The 19,769-nt window shown below is 40.8% G+C and overlaps 1 protein-coding gene and 1 pseudogene across 7 annotated transcripts in view; one reads left to right on the top strand and one right to left on the bottom strand.

Annotated features, from left to right (window-relative positions):
* Positions 1 to 19,769, top strand: part of SLC25A13 (solute carrier family 25 member 13) — a 201,879-nt gene that overhangs the window by 20,778 nt on the left and 161,332 nt on the right. For 5 of the 7 annotated variants that reach the window (NR_027662.2, NM_014251.3, NM_001160210.2 and 2 more), the window contains one exon: positions 4,370 to 4,423. Coding sequence is in view for 6 of the 7 variants with exons in the window: in NM_014251.3 (NP_055066.1) it covers positions 4,370 to 4,423 (54 nt within the window). In the remaining variant the exon portion in view is untranslated. Of the gene's footprint in view, positions 1 to 4,369; positions 4,424 to 16,483; positions 16,706 to 19,769 lie in introns of those variants that run through there. The other 2 variants (XM_017011663.2, XM_047419713.1) reach the window with 1 other exon arrangement.
* On the bottom strand, positions 17,468 to 18,008 carry RPL21P74 (ribosomal protein L21 pseudogene 74; annotated as a pseudogene).

The following is a 19,769-nucleotide window of genomic DNA, read 5'->3' as shown; positions in this document are numbered from 1 at the left end:
AAAAAATGTAACAGTGAAAGTAAGCCTTCTGGAAACAATCTAAAGTTTGATGACTCTTCTAAACCCCAAGAATGAACGAAGTCTAATAATTCCAGGCTTCTAAAGCCCAAGAATGAACTAAGTCTAATAATCCCAAGCTTATGTGATGCAAAGTATGCATGCTGGACAGCTGTTCTGAATTGACTTTAAAAGGGTGGCTACATTTCTGTGGCTTCCTTTTTCCAGCTCATAGAACTTCCTGGGTATTGGTTTTGCCACCAGGTAGAATTCATTGAAATACACCTTTAAAAAACTGGTACATCTCATGGTAACTTTGCATTGTCTTCAATTAAGTTGTGTAAGTGTTCTTCATTCATAGCAAATGACACTTAAAACAAGAAGATAGGAATGGGAGGTAGCAGTATAAATGGAAATTCCGAACAGCCACACAGCATTTGACTGGTGAATAATAGATGGAATTACTATAGAGATGAGGCCCAGGAGGCTGGTAGTAATTTTTCTGAATCCATCCCCTGTTGAACCATACTTATCTATCCTTAAATAGAATGTACCAGGACCTGAGCCAAATTTTAGTGGGCCTCAGAGAAATCTTGTGGTGATCATTAACCATTTGCTGTACCTGGAACTCTGGGTTGGGGGTAGGGTAGCTGAGACAATTATCAGTTAGGATGGCCACAATGTTTATTTAGTGGTTTGGTGAGTGTGTTTGAAGACCCATGAGTTTCTCTTCTCTTTTGCTAATTTATCCCTTCTAAATTATGAGCCAGTTTACCCATCATTTAGATTTCTTAAGGAGTAAACATGGTAGAACATAAACATCTTTGGATAAATAATACAAATAGTAATAGATACCATTTATTGAGCACTTTAACTGTGTGGCCCTTTTGGTGCTAAGCACTTTGTGTAATTATCTCATATTACTTTTCTAGCTGTCTAGGACTCCCCATTTTATAAATGAGGAAAGTGAGGCTGAGAGGTCAGGGCCTCCAAGTCACATGGCCAGTGAGTTTATGAGGTTGGTCCTGCTCCCTATTTGAGGATGATCTGACACTAAGGCCATGTTCTTTTTTTTTAATGAAGATGGGGTGTCACTATGTTGCCCAGGCTAATCTCAAACTCCAGGGCTCAAGTGATCCTCCCACCTTGGCCTCCCAAAGTGCTGGGATTATAGGTATGAGCCACCATTCCTGTAAGATCATGTCCTTAATCACAGCATTGGACAGACACTACACACTGTTAGGAGAAATTGGGAGAGTTTTGATTTTTAGGCTTGTACTATATTGCAGTTATGTACCACATAAGGATGTTTTCATCAATGAAGGACTGCATATATGATGGTGGCTCCATAAATTATAGTGGAGCTGCCCTGTACAGGTGTTCCACTTTTTATCTTTTAAAACCATATTTTTACCACACCTTTTCTATGTTTAGATACTTGTTTTACAGTTGCCTACAGTAATCAGTATAGGAACATGCTGTATAGATTTGTAGCCTAGGAGCAATAGGCTATCTCATTTGCCTAGGTATGTAGTAGGCTACACCATCTAGGTTTGTATAAGTACACTATATGATGTTCACACAATGATGAAATCACTTAACAATGCATTTTTCAGAATGTTATCCTGTTGTTAAGTGATGCATGACTGTATTATATTGCCAGCTAATGCAAGTTATCAACACTTTGAAGCTGCCTGTAATGTGGGTCTGTAGGAAGGCCACTACGGTAAGAGATGGAATATTTGGGATCTGATCTCAGCTCAGAAAACATTTAGAAATGTCAGCACAGATTGGCACTTAATCTGACTTTTTGGGGGAAATAATTGATGCTTTCTGAGCTTTGGTTTCCTCTTCTGTAAAATTAGGGCAGTAATATCCATCTTATCTGACTGATTTGCAGTGAGAATCCAACGAGATAATAGTCTTGCTTAGAAAACTGTAAATGTTAGGCAACATGCCTTATAAGTGTTGGGTCATTCTCTGTCTTTGTTTTGATTTGTGTTCTCTGCCCTAGACCCTGAGAAGGTTACAAAGTGAACACTTTTTTTCCCCCTTTGAGGTGTAGTTCTGATGGGGAGCACTGAATATACATTTCAGGATCCTTAAGCAGAAATGTGCTATGAAAATTGAGGGCAGGGGAGGTTCACTCTGAAATAGCATTGCCCAGGCAAGACCTTACAAAGTTCATGGCATAAAGAATTAATTCTATTTTAGAATTACGAAGAATACTTCATTTTGTGGAAAATTTATTTTGCTTTTAAGAGGAAAACAGTTAAGAACTTAGGGTACCATATGCTTTTGAAAAAAGTGTTATGTACTTCCATGAGATGTGGGACTCTTACCATCAAGGAGGAGATTTTTCTGCTCTTAAAGTGGAGGATGGGGGCATTTTATGCTGTCCCATCTTCTCTTGTGTTCGTCCTACCCTACCTTTCTCAGAATAGAGACCTGAGAGGAGGGAGTCCTCTCTGAAGCTTTTAGGGCAGCAGAGTCATTCATCTTAGGTTAACTAGCAGTACATTTTCTTCTCCTCTATTGAACAGCAGAGAACACTTACTAATTCAGGATTTTTAAAAAGATTAAAAATTCATGGCTGGGCACAGTGGCTCATGCCTGTAATCCCAGCGTTTTGGGAGTCTGAGGCGGGCAGATCACCTAAGGTCACGAGTTGGAGACCAGCCTGGCCAACATGGTAAAACCCCATCTGTACTAAAAATAAAAAATTAGCCGGGCATGGTGGTGCATGCCTATAATCCCAACTACTTGGGAGGCTGAGGCAGGAGAATCGTTTGAACCTGGGAGGCTGAGGTTGCAGTGAGCTAAGACTGCATCATTGCACTCCAGCCTGGGCAACAAGAGTGAAACTCCATCTCAAAGAAAAAAAAAAAAGTATTACAAATTCTTATGAATAGCCTTGGTGGTTACAAGCACTCAGCTGAAATGAAGAGTTATCAGTCTTGCTTTGGGAAACAAGGTGACCAACCATCTGGTTTCAGAAAGACTACTCCCATTCTAGTGATTAGTTAATAAAATTATTCCTGACAGTGGAGAGCCTAGGAGCTCAGGCAGTTCCATATTTAGAGACAGAGAACTCATTGTCCAAAGATCTCAGAACAGCCTTCACTAGCTCACAGAAGGGATTTAGGACAATTTGCATAAGTTTCCCTGTGGATAGCAACATGGGTCCAGTGTTGGGTGGTTCCAGGAACCTCTCCTTGGCTTCATCATGGGGTGGCTCTGTGCTTGGTGGGAACCCAGTCTCATGATGTTTTTTGCTAGGAGGATTGGGTGTTGGGACATTGAATAAACCCACTGTTTGGTTCCACATAAGGGCTCTTTTGTGTTGGCCTGAGGAAGCCATGTTGAAGTTTGTCTTGCTTTTCCCCAGCAATGTTTTTGGACTTTGTGGCCTGCAGAATTAAGCACAACACCCATTCTGAGCTAATCTGTCAATTTTTGCTCTTCAAAGATAACCACAGCCACTTGTATTTCTAAAATATGTAGAATAATATCATACCTTTGGAGACCTATGATTTATTAATTAAAAACTGAGGAGAGGAGGAGAGGTTCTTTGGCATGCCCAGGTAGTGAGGTATACATGCCTGTTCATGGTGAAACTGTGAGAAGTAACTCCCTTGAGTTAATATGATTTCCCTAGTTCACTGACTTCTTTAAGAAATATGTTCTCTTGGCTGGGCACGATGGCTCACGCCTGTAATCTTAGCACTTTGGGAGGCTGAGGCGGGCAGATCACTTGAGGTCAGGAGTTTGAGACCAGCCTGGCCAACATGGTGAAACCCTATCTCTACTAAAAATACATAAATTAGCTGGGAGTGGTAGTACGCGCCTGCAATCCCAGCTACTCAGGAGGCTGAGGCAGGAGAATCGCTTGAACCTGGGAGGCAGAGGTTGCAGTGAGCCGAGATTGCACCACTACACTCCAGCCTGGGCAACAGAGAGAGACTGTCTCAGAAAAAAAAAAAAGAAATATGTTCTCTTGCATAGTTGACAAACATTTGTTTACTTAAATTCTCCTGTGAAAGGGCATGGTTTACACTGGATTATAAGTAAAAAATGACAGGTGTTTGCAATGTTTCACCTTTTCTTTTTAAGAAATGATATACATTCAACATTAGATATTAAGAGATTTTGCTACTGGTTCCTTGCATAAAATTTTATCATTTTAGAAGCTGCATAAGGAGTCTAATTTAAAATGGGAAGGGGGCATAGTTTATGCACTGGGGCAACATGGTATTTAAGTACAAAAATGAAATGCACTAATTTTTAATCTGAGATTTATTTTCCTTTAGTCGGCTAGCTTGATTTCTCAGCTTTGTTGTAATAACATAAACATTTTTATGTTTATTTATAGGTGGCTTTAACCAAGAGAGCAGATCCAGCTGAGCTTAGAACAATATTTTTGAAGGTCAGTATAAAGGAATCTATTTTGTTTCTTGTTTGATTTGTGTTCTATAACTTTTAAATATTATTTTCAAACAGCTCTTTATTTCGTTGTTATATTTTGAAAAAGTCCCAAAGTGTCAGCCCGGCACGGTGGCTCATGCCTGTAATCCCAGCACTTTGGGAGGCTGAGGTGGGTGGATCCCCTGAGGTCAGGAGTTTGAGACCAGCCTGGCCAACATGGTGAAACCCCATCTTTACTGAAAGTACCAAAACTAGCCAGGTGTGGTGGCACGTGCCTGTAATCCTGGCTATTCAGGAGGCTGAGGTGGGAGAATCGCTTGAACCTGGGAGGCGGAGGTTGCAGTGAGCTGAGATCGTGCCACTGCACTCCAGCCTGGGCGACAGAGCAAGACTGTCTCAAGAAAAAAAAAAAAAAAGAAAATCCCAACATGTCTTAAGAGGGGAGAGCCTTACAAATACGTCTGCTTTTTAAAATGTAGGTGACTGTGATGACAACATGGCTTATATTTTAATTTCTTTTATCTCATGTGGTGTAAGGTATGTGAATAAAAGCGGTTGCTGGAGTATTCAGTTTTGCAACCCATTTACCTTTCCAGGATTGACCCGTATAGCTTTTTCTCCTAGGAAGTTTAAAGCTCATTGTAAACATCTCAGTAATCCTTCACTCATCCATGGGACTATACTGTCTCTCCCTGGTAGAAGCCTATTGTTGTGGTCATCATCATTATCATCACTTTATGATGACTGCGGTATCCTGAGAGGAGGCTCCAGTATGGATAATACTAGATACTAGAGCACAACAGACACCATGGAAGTTTGTGTCTTATACTGGCATCTTATATTTCCACCTATTTTGTGATAGTGGGCAGTGAATGATTAATAGAATAAAAGTCTGTCTCAGGTTCCAGACACCGAAACACCTTTATGTTATTCAGCTGAAATTAAAGTACTCAGAAAAGAAAAGGCCACTTTTGTAAGATAATATACACACATATAATATATATGTATATATACACACACATATATGATATATTATTAATAACATATATTAATATACACATATTTTATATATATATGTTTTTCTAAACATTATGAAAAGGCAGCTGAGTTGTATGGAAAGAGGACCAGGGTGTCAAATGAGAAATTTGATGTGTACTGAATATGGTGTAGAAAGGTATTAAATCTATGAACCTCTCTTTCCTCATCACAATGTGTTACTATTAAAACTAATTGAGACATCAAGGACTTTGAACATGGACAGGATATTTGATATTAAGGAGTTGGTATTAATCGATGTTTAGGCTGATAATATTCTCATTATGGGAAATATAGAGTCTATGTTTTAGAGATATACACTGAAACATTTTTACAGATGAGACTACCGTTTCTGAGATTTGCTTTTAAATAATCCAGTTTTGTTGAGTTGAGGAAAATGAGTAGGCAGTATGATGATAACTTTTGAAATTGGGAAATGGAATATTGGGTTTATTACACTGTTCTCTCTACTTTGTATATGTTTGAAAAATTTTCTTTTCTTTTCTTGTTTTCTGAGACAGAGTTTCACTCTTGTTGCCCAGGCTGGAGTGCAATGGCGCTTTCTCAGCTCACTGCAACCTCCACCTCCCGGGTTCAGGTGATTTTCAGGCTCCTGGGTAGCTGGGATTACAGGCATGTGCCACCACACCCGGCTAATTTTGTGTTTTTAGTAGAGACGGGGTTTCACCATGTTGATCAGGCTGGTTTTGAACTCCTGACCTCAGGTGATCTGCACGCCTTGGCCTCCCAAAGTGCTGGGATTACAGGTGTGAGCCACCACACCTGGTCTGAACATGTTCATAATAAAACATTTTTTTAAATTGTAACGATTCAGTGAGGTAACTTATATGAAAGGTGTCCTGCATCTGATATGTGTTATGTATTGATTCAGTAAATGCTTGAAATTAAGTAATGATTTAAGTAAAGGAGAAATAAAGACTCCAAAAGCAAATGAATTAAAAGCAGGGATAGTTTTGTGGGGAGGAAAAAAAAGGACACATTTGTAAGGAGATTTAGATTATACATAAAAAATCAGGATTCTGGACACCTGTAATCCCAGTGAGAGGCTGAGGCAGGAGGATGGCTTGAGCCTAGGAATTTGAGGCTTCAGTGAGCTATGAATGTGCCACCACATTCCAGCCTGGATGACAGAGTGAGACCCTGTCTCTTAAAAACAAAGCAATGTTCTTTATAAATTTGTTTTTAGCCCAGAAATACAGTGTAGAGTTTCTTTTTTTTCTTTTTTTTTTTTTCTGAGACAGAGTCTCACTGTGTCTCCCAGGCTGGAGTGCAGGTTGCGCATGTCAGCTCACTGCAACCTCTGTCTCCCGGGTTCATGTGATTCTCATGCCTCAGCCTCCCGAGTAGCTGGGATTATAGGCATGTACCACCACGCCTAGTTAATTTTTGTATTGTTGTTATTATTATTTTTTTATTATACTTTAAGTTCTAGGGTACATGGGCACAACGTGCAGGTTTGTTACATATGTATACATGAGCCATGTTGATGTGCTGCACCCATTAACTTGTCATTTACATTAAGTATATCTCCTAATGCTATCCCTCCCTCCTCCCCCCACCCCACAACAGGCCCCAGTGTGTGATGTTCCCCTTCCTGTGTCCAAGTGTTCTCATTGTTCAATTCCCACCTATGAGTGAGAACATGTGGTGTTTGTTTTTTTGTTCTTGCGATAGTTTGCTGAGAATGATGGTTTCCAGCTTCATCCATGTCCCTGCAAAGGATATGAACTCATCATTTTTTATGGCTGCATAGTATTCCATGGTGTATATGTGCCACATTTTCTTAATCCAGTCTATCATTGATGGACATTTGGGTTGGTTCCAAGTCTTTGCTATTGTGAATAGTGCCGCAATAAACATACGTGTGCATGTGCCTTTACAGCAGCGTGATTTATAATCCTTTGGGTATATACCCAGTAATGGGATTGCTGGGTCAAATGGTATTTCTAGTTCTAGATCCTTGAGGAATTGCCACACTGTCTTCCACAATGGTTGAACTAGTTTACAGTCCCACCAACAGTGTAAAAGTGTTCCTATTTCTCCACATCCTCTCCAGCTCCTGTTGTTTCCTGACTTTTTAATGATCGTCATTCTAACTGGTGTGAGATGGTATCTCACTGTGGTTTTGATTTGCATTTCTCTGATGGCCAGTGATGATGAGCATTTTCTCATGTGTCTTTTGGCTGCATAAATGTCTTCTTTTGAGAAGTGTCTGTTCACATCCTTCACCCACTTTTTGATGGGGTTGTTTGTTTTTTTCTTGTGAGTTTGGCTGAGTTCTTTGTAGATTCTGGATATTAGCCCTTTGTCAGATGAGTAGATTGAAAAAATTTTCTCCCATTCTGTAGGTTGCCTGTTCACTCTGATGGTTGTTTCTTTTGCTGTGCAGAGGCTCTTTAGTTTGATTAGATCCCATTTGTCAATTTTGGCTTTTGTTGCCATTGCTTTTGGTGTTTTAGACATGAGGTCCTTGCCCATGCCTGTGTCCTGAATGGTATTGCCTAGGTTTTCTTCTAGGGTTTTTATGGTTTTAGGTCTAACATGTAAGTCTTTAATCCATCTTGAATTAATTTTTGTATAAGGTGTAAGGAAGGGATCCAGTTTCAACTTTCTACATATGGCTAGCCAGTTTTCCCAGTACCATTTGTTAAATAGGGAATCCTTCCCCATTTCTTGTTTTTGTCAGGTTTGTGAAAGATCAGATGGTTGTAGATGTGTGGTATTATTTCTGAGGCCTCTGTTCTGTTCCATTGGTCTATGTCTCTGTTTTGGTACCAGTACCGTGCTGTTTTGGTTACTGTAGCTTTGTAGTATAGTTTGAAGTCAGGTAACGTGACGCCTCTGGCTTTGTTCTTTTGGCTTAGGATTGACTTGGCAATGCAGGCTCTTTTTTGGTTCCATATGAACTTTAAAGTAGTTTTTTCCAATTCTGTGAAGAAAGTCATTGGTAGCTTGATGGGGATGGAATTGAATCTGTAAATTACCTTGGGAAGTATGGCCATTTTCATGATATTGATTCTTCCTATCCATGAGCATGGAATGTTCTTCCATTTGTTTGTATCCTCTTTTATTTCATTGAGCAGTGATTTGCAGTTCTCCTTGAAGAGGTCCTTCACATCCCTTGTAAGTTAGATTCCTAGGTATTTTATTTTCTTTGAAGCAATTGTGAATGGGAGTTCACTCATGATTTGGCTCTCTGTTTGTCTGTTATTGGTGTATAAGAATGCTTGTGATTTTTGCACATTGATTTTGTATCCTGAGACTTTGCTGAAGTTGCTTATCAGCTGAAGGAGATTTTGGGCTGAGACGATGGGGTTTTCTAAATATACAATCATGTCATCTGCAAACAGGACAATTTGACTTCCTCTTTTCCTAATTGAATACCCTTTATTTCTTTCTCCTGCCTGATTGCCCTGGCCAGGACTTCCAACACTATGTTAAATAGGAGTGGTGAGAGACGGCATCCTTGTCTTGTGCCAGTTTTCAAAGGGAATGCTTCCAGTTTTTGCCCATTTAGTATGATATTGGCTGTGGGTTTGTCATAGATAGCTCTTATTATTTTGAGATACGTCCCATCTTTACCTAATTTATTGAGAGTTTTTAGAATGAAGTGCTGTTGAAGTTTATCAAAGGCCTTTTCTGCATCTATTGAGATAATAATGTGGTTTTTGTCTTTGGTTCTGTTTATATGCTGGATTACTTTTATTGATTTGCGTATGTTGAACCAGCCTTGCACCCCAGGGATGAAGCCCACTTTATCATGGTGGATAAGCATTTTGATGTGCTGCTGAATTTGGTTTGCCAGTATTTTATTGAGGATTTTTGCATCGATGTTCATCAGGGATATTGGTCTAAAATGCTCTTTTTTTGTTGTGTCTCTGCCAGGCTTTGGTATCAGGATGATGGCTGGCCTCATAAAATGAGTTAGGGAGGATTCCCTCTTTTTCTATTGATTGGAATAGTTTCAGAAAGAATGGTAGCAGCTCCTCCTTGTACCTCTGGTAGAATTCGGCTGTGAATCTGTCTGGTCCTGGACTTTTTTTGGTTGGTAGGCTATTAATTATTGCCTCAATTTCAGATCCTGTTATTGGTCTATTCAGGGATTCAACTTCTTCCTGGTTTAGTCTTGGGAGGGTGTATGTGTCGACGAATTTATCCATTTCTTCTAGATTTTCTAGTTTATTTGCGTAGAGGTGTTTATAGTATTCTCTGATGGTAGTTTTTATTTCTGTGGGATCGGTGGAGATATCCCCTTTCTCATTTTTTATTGCGTCTATTTAATTCTTCTCTCTTTTCTTCTTTATTAGTCTTGCTAGCAGTCTATCAATTTTGTTGATCTTTCAAAAAACCAGCTCCTGGATTCATTAATTTTTGGAAGGGTTTTTTGTGTCTCCATCTCCTTCAGTTCTGCTCTGATCTTAGTTATTTCTTGCCTTCTGCTAGCTTTTCAATGTGTTTGCTCTTGCTTCTCTAGTTCTTTTAATTGTGATGTTAGGGTGTCAATTTTAGATGTTTCCTGCTTCTCTTGTGGGCATTTAGTGCTATAGATTTCTCTCTACACACTGCTTTAAATGTGTCCCAGAGATTCTGGTATGTTGTGTCTTTGTTCTCATTGGTTTCAAAGAACGTCTTTATTTCCGACTTCATTTCGTTATGTACCCAGTAGTCATTCAGGAGCAGGTTGTTCAGTTTCCATGTAGTTGAGTGGTTTTGAGTGAGTTTCTTAATCCTGAGTTCTAGTTTGATTGCACTGTGGTCTGAGAGACAGTTTGTTATAGTTTCTGTTCTTTTACATTTGCTGAAGAGGGCTTTACTTCCAACTATGTGGTCAATTTTGGAATAAGTGCCATGTGGTGCTGAGAAGAATGTATATTCTGTTGATTTGGGGTAGAGAGTTCTGTAGATGTCTGTTAGGTCTGCTTGGTGCAGAGCTGAGTTCAATTCCTGGATATCCTTGTTAACTTTCTGTCTCGTTGATCTGTCTAATGTTGACAGTGGGGTGTTAAAGTCTCCCATTATTATTGTGTGGGAGTCTAAGTCTCTTTGTAGGTCACTCAGGACTTGCTTTATGAATCTTGGTGCTCCTGTATTGGGTGCATATGTATTTAGAATAGTTAGCTCTTCTTGTTGAATTGATCCCTTTACCATTATGTAATGGCCTTCTTTGTCTTTTTTGATCTTTGTTGGTTTAAAGTCTGTTTTATCAGAGACTAAGATTGCAACCCCTGCCTTTTTTTTTTTTTTTCCATTTGCTTGGTAGATCTTCCTCCATCCCTTTATTTTGAGCCTATGTGTGTCTCTGCACGTGAGATGGGTTTGCTGAATACAGCACACTGATGGGTCTTGACTCTTTATCCAATTTGCCAGTCTGTGTCTTTTAATTGGAGCATTTAGCCCATTTACATTTAAGGTTAATATTGTTATGTGTGAATTTGATCCTGTCTTTATGATGTTAGCTGGTTATTTTGCTCGTTGCTTCATACAGTTTCTCCCTAGCATCGATGGTCTTTACAATTTGGCATGTTTTTGCAGTGGTTGGTACCAGTTGTTCCTTTCCATGTTTAGTGCTTCCTTCAGGAGCTCTTTTAGGGCAGGCCTGGTGTTGACAAAATCTCTCAGCATTTGCTTGTCTGTAAAGTATTTTATTTCTCCTTCACTTATGAAGCTTAGTTTGGCTGGATATGAAATTCTGGGTTGAAAATTCTTTTCTTTAAGAATGTTGAATATTGGCCCCCACTCTCTTCTGGCCAGAGATCTGTCGGGAGATCAGTTTCTGTCGAGAGATCTGCTGTTAGTCTGATGGGTTTCCCTTTGTGGGTAACCCGACCTTTCTCTCTGGCTGCCCTTAACATTTTTTTCCTTCATTTCAACTTTGGTGAATCTGACAGTTATGTGTCTTGGACTTGCTCTTCTCGAGGAGTATCTTTGTGGCGTTCTTTGTATTTCCTGAATTTGAATGTTGGCCTGCCTTGCTAGGTTGGGGAAGTTCTCCTGGATATTATCCTGCAGAGTGTTTTCCAACTTGGTTTCATTCTCCCCATCACTTTCAGGTACACCAGTCAGACATAGATTTGGTCTTTTCACATAGTCCCGTATTTCTTGGAGGCTTTGTTCATTTCTTTTTTACTCTTTTTTCTCTAAACTTCTCTTCTCGCTTCATTTCATTCATTTGATCTTCCATCACTGATACCCTTTCTTCCAGTTGATCGAATCGGCTACTGAAGCTTGTGCATTTGTCACATAGTTCTTGTGCCATGGTTTTCAGCTCCATCAGGTCATTTAAGGACTTCTCTACGCTGGTTATTTTAGTTAGCCTTTCGTCCAATCTTTTTTTCAAGGTTTTTAGCTTCTTTGCTTTGGGTTCGAACTTCCTCCTTTAGCTCGGAGAAGTTTGATCGTCTGAAGCCTTCTTCTCTCAACTCGTGAAAGTCATTGTCCGTCCAGCTTTGTTCCGTTGCCGGTGAGGAGCTGCGTTCCTTTGGAGCAGGAGAGGTGCTCTGATTTTTAGAATTTTCAGCTTTTCTGCTCTGTTTTTTCCCCCATCTTTGTGGTTTTATCTACCTTTGGTCTTTGATGATGGTGACGTACAGATGGGGTTTTGGTGTGGATGTCCTTTCTGTTTGTTAGTTTTCCTTCTAACAGTCAGGACCCTCAGCTGCAGGTCTGTTGGAGTTTGATGGAGGTCCACACCAGACCCTGTTTGCCTGGGTATCAGCAGCGGAGGCTGCAGAACAGCAAATATTGCTGAACAGCAAATGTTGCTGCCTGATCTTTCCTCTGGAAGCTTCATTTCAGAGGGGTACCCGGCTGTGTGAGGTGTCAATCTGCCCCTACTGGGGGGCGCCTCCCAGTTAGGCTACTTGGGGCTCAGGGTCTCACTTGAGGCATTCTGTCTGTTCTCAGATCTCAAACCCTGTGCTGGGAGAACCACTACTCTCTTCAAAGCTGTCAGACAGGGACATTTAAGTCTGCAGAGGTTTCTGCTGCCTTTTGTTCGGCTATGCTCTGCCCCCAGAGGTGGAGTCTACAGAGGACTCCTGGAGCTGTGGTGGGCTCCACCCAGTTCGAGCTTCCAGGCCGCTTTGTTTACTACTCAAGCCTCAGCAATGGTGGGCGCCCCTCCCCCAGCCTCACTGCCACCTTGCAGTTGGATCTCAGACTGCTTTGCTAGCAATGAGCGAGGCTCCGTGGGCGTGGGACCCTCCGAGCGAGGCGCAGGATATATTCTCCTGGTGTGCCGTTTGCTAAGACCGTTGGAAAAGCGCAGTATTAGGGTGGGAGTGACCCGATTTTCCAGGTGCCGTCTGTTACCCCTTCCCTTGGCTAGGAAAGGGAATTCCCTGACCCCTTGCGCTTCCTGGGTGAGGCGATGCCTCGCCCTGCTTCGGCTCACACTTGGTGGGCTGCACCCACTGTCCTGCCCCCACTGTCCAATGAGCCCCAGTGAGATGACCCTGGTGCCTCAGTTGGAAATGCAGAAATCACCTGTCTTCTGCATCGCTCACGCTGGGAGCTGTAGACTGGAGCTGTTCCTATTCGGCCATCTTGGAACCATCCACCAATTTTTGTATTTTTAGTAGAGACGGGTTTCCCCATGCTGGCCAGACTGGTCTTGAACTTCTGACCTCAAGTGATCTGCCTGCCTTGGCCTCCTAAAGTGCTGGGATTACAGGCACGAGCCACCATTTCTGGCCACAATACAGTATACAGTTTCTAAGTTGGAAAAGGATTCTGGAGGATGAAAGTCCAGAAAACAGAAAAGCATTTGTTCCTTACCTAAGCTGATCTCTATGGTTGTGCATGTTGGGACCACCATGGTTGGAATGAGGTCTGTATGAGAGAACCAGAGAAGGTCTTCGTATGTGCATTTAAGGTGTGTTGATATTGTAAAACTCCAGTGACAGAAATCTGAAAGATCACTTGCAGAAAAGTAACTAAGTGGGCTGCCAAAGATCCTATCAAAATGGAAAGTAGCTCATTAGCTTAAGCTGGTAAAGAAGTCATCGTTCTTTGAACCGAGGACCTATCTGTTACTTCTGTTTTCTAAACAAGCAAGAGTGGTGGGCATCCTTCTGACAGGAAGTGGGAACACCATAGAGGGTGTCTCAATACATGGTGCATCTTACAATCTCACTGGTTGGTGTGATCCATTGATAAGACTCCACTTAAAGGCTGTGTCCACCTTTCGAGGAGGCCACATGGTCCCTGGAGAAGCTAGGCTGAGACCTTAGTTTGGAACGATGTATCTTTGTCAGCTGCTACATCCACTTTCAGCAGCCAGCAGGACTATACTGGGGGAGAGTCTAATTGATCAGGTAGACCTAGAGAGGGTGAGAATTCATGCAGAGTTCTGGAGAGACACCTGTAGTGTTTCTGTTTAAGTGCACTTGAAGGCCGAGGGTGGAATCTTTGGTATAAATGGGGAAGTACTCTCTTCCCTTGGGGTGGCTGGGACTATGTGACTTTTGAGTAACAGTTTGTGTGGCTTGGAGTCCTAAGAGATGACGTCAGGGGGACCATACCTGAAGAAAACAGCAGTCAGCAGTTTGTGGAAAGGATTGTGGATCTGGCAAAAGTTCTGGTGATCTCACCAGGCCTGGATAGTGTGGTACCAACCCAAATCTGCCTTGGCTTAGCATGCTAAGGATGTCAGGTTTACCATTTATCACAGATGGTATTGTGGTGAGGGGAAGAACGGGAAACACAGCAATGTGGGGACCGTGCCAGGCCGAGCTTCTTAGTTAATTATGGATCAGCAGTAAGCATTCTGTAAACCTGTCTACTTTGCTGATTTTCTGTGACTTTTTCCTGACTTGACTTTCTTCCTAGTAAAAATTCCATGTGAAATATCCCAGCCTTCTCTCTGCTAACCTGTGTAAAGAGAGGATTCTTCTTTAGCTTGGGAGGTGGAAGGGAGCTTCATTGCAGCCTTCACACCAGGTGTGATGGTAGCAGGAAAGTTGGCAGCTCTGTAGATCAGCGACAGCCAGTGGAACTGAGCCAGATAAGGAAAGAGGGCTCCTAGGGGATTAAAATGAGCCCAATTCTGCCCTTTTCATTTGTTTGAGAATTTAGAATCAGTTCCACTGTTTTTTTGAAGGTACCTAGATACAGTGTCATGGACTGGGTGTGTATCAATGCATACATCATGGCTCCTGTCCATTAATATCAGAGTGAGAACTGTGTGTAAGTGTAAAAAACCCCAGAAGCCATGATATGATTGATAAGTAGTGTACAGGATTAATTAGCAGAAGATGGTGTGGTCTAATTATATCTTTCTATGGAGAGTCATTAAGTTATGGAGAGGTGGTAATGTTTGAATTACGCTCGAAGATGAGTAGGTAGAGAAGGGTTTGTTGGCAATGGAAGACCTTTTTAGGCAAAGAAAACAACACATACAAAGTAAAGAGCTGTCAGAGTGCCACAGGTGTGGAGGGAATGGCTAAACACTTGGGCTGGCTCGGGGCACAGGATCCTGGGTGGTGGTAGTCAGGACAGGACTTGTTATAAAACATGTGGGGCTAAGGCATACGACAGATTTTTTTTTTTTTTTTTTTTGAGATGGAGTCTTACTCTGTCACCCAGGCTGGAATGCAGTGGTATGATCTTGGCTCACTGCAAGCTCTGCCTCCCCAGGTTCATGCCATCCTCCTGCCTCAGCCTCCCAAGTAGCTGGGACTACAGGCGCCTGCCACCATGCCCGGGTAATTTTTTGCATTTTTAGTAGAGATGGGGTTTCACCGTGTTAGCCAGGATGGTCTCGATCTCCTGACCTCATGATCCTCCTGCCTTGGCCTCCCAAAGTGCTGGGATTACAGGCATGAGCCACCGTGCCTGGCCAACGACAGATGTTTTCTTATGGAGGATGTTCTTGTGGCAAGTGTCAGGTAATGTTTCATCTAGATGTAGAAGTTAAAGTCTAGGAAGTCAGTTTTGTTTCTAGTCTTAACGACATGCGTTTTTCTGTTTGCCTAGTACTTTTGGTGTTGCTTCCTGTTAGTTTAAACAGATGTGTATTGAGTGCCTGCCATTTAAATAAAACACCAGGAAACTCTGTGGTGAGTGGGAGGTGCAAAAGATGTATAACAATGACCACATCTTAAAGGAGCTCAGATTTTATATAAGAGACCAGATGGATAGGCATGCAGGAGGTAACAAAGAATCTTAAAGTTGGCATACCCCAAGGGCCTGCGTTGTGGTTAAAGCAAATGCTGTAGGAGGTGGAAGGAGGGAGCAGCCCCCATTGTGGAGAGTGGTCAGGGAAGGCCCTTAGGAGAGAGAACTTGGGGAGTCTCAGGGACAAGTTGGAGAGGCGACAAGGAACACGTTTGAGGGAAGGCCTGGAGATGAGTTGAGGAGAAAACAACCTCTGCAGGTTGAAGGAGTATTGCTCATCCTTTAAGTGTTTATTTAAATACAACTCTGGCTCAAAGTATGCTGAGTATCACAGGGTGTGGGTGACAGGATTGGAAAGGTAATTGGGGGTTTGGAATTCCACTAAACAGTAGGAAGCATTCGAGGTTTTTTGACGAGGAGATGGGTGTGAGATTTGATTGGTGCAGCAAGGCCACAAGTTAGGCAGCCTTAGGGTTGCGGCAGCAGGAGGAATGGAGAATGGCAAGATAGAGTCACTTTGAAAGAATATTTGATTAAGATGGCTGATTTTTTATAATGGATGAGAGAGAGCAGAGAGAAAATACGGTCTGAGTGCAGAGAGGTGCCAGTAATAAGAATAGAGAAAGTGAGAGGGAGCCAGTAGCTCGAGGGAGGAAAAGAGATGATGCGTGCTATTGTATTAGTAACAGAGAAAGTGAGAGGGAGCCAGTAGCTCCAGGGAGGAAAAGAGATGATGCCTACTATTAGTAATAGAGAAAGTGAGAGGGAGCCAGTAGCTATGGAGAGCAAAAGAGATGATGTGTACTATTGTATTAGTCTGTTCTGTTCTCATGCTGCTAATAAAGGCATACCTGAGACTGGGTAATTTATCAGGCAAAGAGGTTTAATTGACTCACAGTTCCACATGGCTAGAGAGGCCTCACAATCATGGTGGAAGGCGAATGAGAAACAAATTCTCGTCTTATATTGTGACAGGCAAGAGAGCTTGTGCAGGGGAACTCCCATTTATAAAACCATTGGATCTTCTGAAACTTATGGGGAGACCGCACCCATGATTCAGTTATCTCCACCTGGCCCCGCCCTGGACACATGGGGATTATTACAATTCAAGGTGAGATTTGGGCGGGGACACAGCCAAACCATGTCAACTGTTTAGAAGTATATAGTCTCAAGTAACTAAATCTCTGTAGCGAAAGATGGGAAAATTGGGGAAAAGGGCTGAATGAGAAACAGAAGACATATTACAGAGTAACATAGTGAATTACACTTGGATTTTTATAATTGTTTTGTCAGCAAAAGCATGATATCCACTTTTAAAATGTCTGTAGGCAAATTTTGAAAAACAGTTAATTCTGTTTTTGGAAACTTTTTATCACATCAATTTTATATGCATTGAAAATTTAAAAGGCAGATACATAAACAAAAGTAACTTGTGATCTTTGTGTAGGAAGATAGATATTTATATATTTATTTATCTCTCAGTCTATGTGTCTCTCTGTATGTATATAATTTTTTTTCCCCTTAGGAGAAAAAAATACTGTTTTCTATCTAGTTTTTTCCCTTACCTGCTATGTTACAAATACTTTTTCCTATAATTCAGTGTGCTTCTATATTTTTTTTATTTTTGTAAATTATTTTGTTTCTTCCATGATGATTTAGAGGAACTACTTTTAAACCAGTACAAATATGTCATAAATAATATCTGGCCATCTTCTAACCAGTTGAGTAATTTCTTGCGCAGTAAGTTACCTCACATCTTTTGGTAAGCAATACGTTAAATTTGATTAGTAAAGACATTATACAGTTAATTAGGACACAATTAAAATTTGCTTTAAATATTTCTTTGAGGGAGTGGACACCACATTTTTACAATCCAGAGGTCTTTTTTTTTTTTTTTTTTTTTTTTTAAACACCTATTTGCCATGAAGTCATAGGAAATAGCTTCCAGCAATGCAAGCTCCTTCCCGTGAGTTCTCACAAAGTGTGCTTCTCTGCGTGGAGCAGGCTGACACCAGGTACACCTTCTTTTTCTGATCATTTTTCTTCATGCATTTCAGGAAGCTATCTCAGCTCTTAGAGTGCTTAATGTGCCCAGCACACACATTGATTCTCTTAGCAAGAGTCTTGCCCTTAACTTGTTGTTTACAACAGTGCCAACAGCATGCTGGGGGCATTGTAGACTCCTCTACTTTTGCCATGGTAACACTTGTAAAGCATTCCTTTTTGAACAGTACTCATTCCCTTAATGTCTACAATATCACCTTTCTTATAGATTTGCATATATGTGGCCAAAGGAACAACTCTATGTTTTCTAAAAGGCCTACAGAACATATATTGAGTGCCTCTCCTCTTTCCCTTTGTGTTCATCCCATTTTGGTGAATTACTGGAAGATGGTGGTTCCAGCTGAAAGGAACCCTACTACAATATTTTTAATGCTGCATAATATTCCTACATATGGCTGTTTCTGTTTTGCCCTAACTTATTGAAGCACTATTTAATTATTGAATATTTAGTTGTTTCCTGTGCTTTACTATCATGACAGCACTGTAATGATAGTATTGTACCTACATTTTTGCATATAGCTAGCATTATTTTCTTAGGATAAATTCCTAGAAGTGGCACCATTGGGTTAGAATGGGTTTAGAACATATTAAGGCTTGTGATTCCCCTTGGTAGACTGCCTCTCATGAAGGTTATTTCAATATTTATTTTGGGTGGGAACACGGAAGTGTTCATTTCCTACATTATATCAACTCAGATTATTATGAGTTTTTGTTGCAGCAGCAACAAAAAAGACTTTATGCCAATCTGTTGGTTGAAAAATTGTATCTTATTTAAAATTTTCATTTTTAAATAAATAGAGCAATATGTTTATTGGCCATTTATGTTTCTTAAATATGTTTTTAACTTTATTGTGACAATTTTCAGACATACAGAAAATAGAATAGTAAACACCCACATAACCACCATCTGATTTAAAGTAATACTTGTCATGTTAGTTTATACATTTTTTTCTGATTTATGTTAATAAATATAACTTAGCTATCACTATAATTCACCCTAAATAATTTAGCATAGAGCTTCAAATAATAAAAACAATCTCCTACACAGTCATAATACCATTGTGCACCTAATAAAGTTAATGATAATTCCCTAATATAAAATACCCAATCCAGATGCAAATCCTTAAATTATATTTTGTTCCATCCCTATAACAGGGAATCAAAGTAAAGGATGGGCAGATGCAGTGACCTGTTGTGTGCACCTTCTCAGTGGTTGGAAAACAATGTAGGGGATTTGTCCTTCAGTCCCAGGATATGAGTGATTCATGACAAAATGGGTAGCTGGATGATTATGGTTCTACCCTGGCTCATTCACAGCTTACAAACCTTTATCAATTTACTGTGACTGATGGTGAGCAGGCCAGATAGGACCCCTGCCCTCGGGGTATGGGCATTTGTAGTGATAGGTTCCTTCTGGTTTCCTTTGCTGTCATCTTCACTGAGTATGGTGGTATTTCTTGGTGATGACAATAAGTATTATACAAGGTTGCATGAGGAATCCTAAAACTCTTCCCATTTTGCAGGTGTATGTTTAATCATAATAAAACTCCTGAAAATTGCAAGGGAGGAAGGCTTCAGCTCACTAGTGAAAAATATTCCCAAAGAAGGATTAATGACATTTTAAAGATGTGGTGGATATAAGGATATAGTCCGTTCCCCCTATAGGGACCCTCTGCTCACTGCTGCAGGGAGAGCAGAGCTGCATTTATCACTACCCTCATACATATTTTTATTATGGTCTGCCTCTGTCCATCAATCCTAAGGAGCAACCTTTGACATGTTTACTTAAATCACAGAGCAGACTGCCCAGCCGTGGTGATGAGCTTGTTTTAAAAACTGGAGAAAACTATTTCTGTGCCCAGATTAACATGCTCTTATATTTAAGAAATGATTTCTTTATTGCATCTAAAAAAATGAAGCTGATAATATCTCTCAAAGACTTCTAAAATGTAAACTGTTGAAATATAAATTGAATGCATACATCACAAATGTACAGCCATGAATACTCAGAAAGTGAGTAGGCCCATGTAACGAGCATCCCAGAGGCCCTCTGATGCCCCTTCTGATCAGCACCCACCAAGGGTAACCAGTTGTCTGAATTCTGGTCACTG

This window comes from Homo sapiens, chromosome 7 (genome assembly GCF_000001405.40).
Source record: "Homo sapiens chromosome 7, GRCh38.p14 Primary Assembly".
In the NCBI taxonomy this organism is placed as follows: domain Eukaryota; kingdom Metazoa; phylum Chordata; class Mammalia; order Primates; family Hominidae; genus Homo; species Homo sapiens.
This window is presented reverse-complemented; position numbering and strand designations above follow the sequence as displayed.